The sequence below is a fragment of the Homo sapiens genome, chromosome 14 (genome assembly GCF_000001405.40).
Source record: "Homo sapiens chromosome 14, GRCh38.p14 Primary Assembly".
NCBI classification, from domain to species: Eukaryota; Metazoa; Chordata; class Mammalia; order Primates; family Hominidae; genus Homo; species Homo sapiens.
This window is the reverse complement of record NC_000014.9, coordinates 46,744,876-46,746,703: the sequence shown is the minus strand read 5'-3', so window position 1 is coordinate 46,746,703 and position 1,828 is coordinate 46,744,876. Positions and strand designations below refer to the sequence as shown.

The following is a 1,828-nucleotide window of genomic DNA, read 5'->3' as shown; positions in this document are numbered from 1 at the left end:
TGCAGAAGAAAAGATTAGTGAAATTGAAGACATAACAATAAAAGTATCCAAAATAAAACAGAGAGAAAAGAGACTTACAAATGATCAGAGGGTGGTGTAGGCACTCTGAACCATGTGCTCGTACTCAATATTCATGGCACAGACCTCTGGGATTCATCCCGAGATCTGTCATCTTAAACTTCACCCTCTTCCAGAGACAGAGCTCAGGAGACCAGGAAATGTCTCCAGGGTCTCTGAGAGCCAACAGAGTCCCCCCATATTATGAGCTGCTCTATGGAGAGGCCCCAGTGGCAAGGAACTAAGGCTTTTTTTCCAGTGCTTGAAAGGAGCTGAATGAGCTTGAATGTATATTCTCCTGCCCCAGTCAAGCCTTGAGAGTATGTGAGTTTGGTCAACATTTTGACAGCAAACTCATGAAACATTCTGAATGAAAATCACACAGCTAAACTGCGTCCGGATTCTTAGCCCTCAGAAATTTGTAAGATAATAAATGTTTGTGTTTTTAATCGCACTTTAAAATCTACAAGCAGTCAATTATCAAAAATTTAAATTAAATAAACACTATCATTTGCAATAGATTTAAAAAGTTTGAAATACTTAGAGATAAGTCTGGCAAAAAATGTGCAAGATCTATACTCTGTAAAGTACAAAACTTTGCTGAGATATTAAAGGACATCTAAACAAATGGGAAAAAAAAACACTGTTTATTAATCTGAAGACGTTACTTCCTCTGATGCCCTCTCAAGTACTGGGTTTCCCCCACCCTACTGTGTTACTGTAAGGATGGTGCTCCTTTTTGTCACTTGTGACCATTTCCCAACATGTCAACCACACAGCTTTGAATCTCTTCTATTATCAGACTAAATCACTCATTAAGCCTCCTTATCATGGTGATTTACTGCCACCAGCCCCTGCCCTTTAACTCCTTGAAGATTTTCAAACTCATATCTCCAACAGGACTATATAATTCTTGGAATTCTAAAATCAATGATTATTCTAATAGCTTACGTTTCAGTTTCTTAACATTGTTTTGCATCTTGTACTCCTTCCTGTCTCAGACACTTCTTCCCCTGGCAATATCCTATACCTTGTCGTTACCCAAAACTGTCACCAAGAATTACAGCCCCTCTATCATCTCAACCTCAAGTATTTCACTCTCTGACCACCATTTCCTCTCTTTATATATCACTTTCTCTAGTACTCCAGCTCTCACCATCATCTGATCCCTCATCAAGGTTTAATGCCATGGTCAATCATATTCACCATCCTAAATAGACACTCAGTTTTTCTTGAGTGTCTATTTCTTATTTCCTTTGCCTTCTATTAGCTTTATGGTGGGGGCGGGGGGCAGTCACATTCCATTTAGTTTCAGGATTTTGGCTTCTATCCCCAATGTATCACTTGTGAAGTCTTGTCGTGACTTTGAGTGGTCATATCTTGGCAGGTCCTTTCCATCCAAATAATAAAATTTCTCCCAACATGCTAGTCCTCTAAGCCACTATATGAATGGTATTTGGGAGCTCTTACTGGTTTTCACCTATTAGTGGGTAGTATTTGAGAATTCTTAGCTATTATCCTTGGACTAATCTTGAATTTAAGAGATGCTATGAGATTGTATCCAGTGCGTCCACCTAAAGAATTTCTACTGCCACTTTTTCTCTACTATTTGAGTGTAAGACTTGGTGATAATACTTGCAGCTTTTTAAGTAAGCTTTTTAAGGAAGCCAGTTGTTTATGCTCTAGTACCTATGCCCCAAATGTACCTGTGTTGTTTATTAACTCCGTTACTGAACTTGGATTTAGCTAGAGATGTTTTCATGGTTTTCTT

General features: G+C 38.6%; 1 annotated feature.

The window, feature by feature from the left end:
- Positions 667–874: a silencer, noted in NCBI's record as "fragment chr14:47215033-47215240 (GRCh37/hg19 assembly coordinates)". NCBI's record gives its function as "represses an EF-1alpha promoter that drives an FKBP-Casp9 reporter gene in an ReSE screen in phorbol 12-myristate 13-acetate-treated (for megakaryocytic differentiation) K562 erythroleukemia cells {active_cell/tissue: K562(+PMA)}" and the evidence as "EXISTENCE:reporter gene assay evidence [ECO:0000049][PMID:32094911]".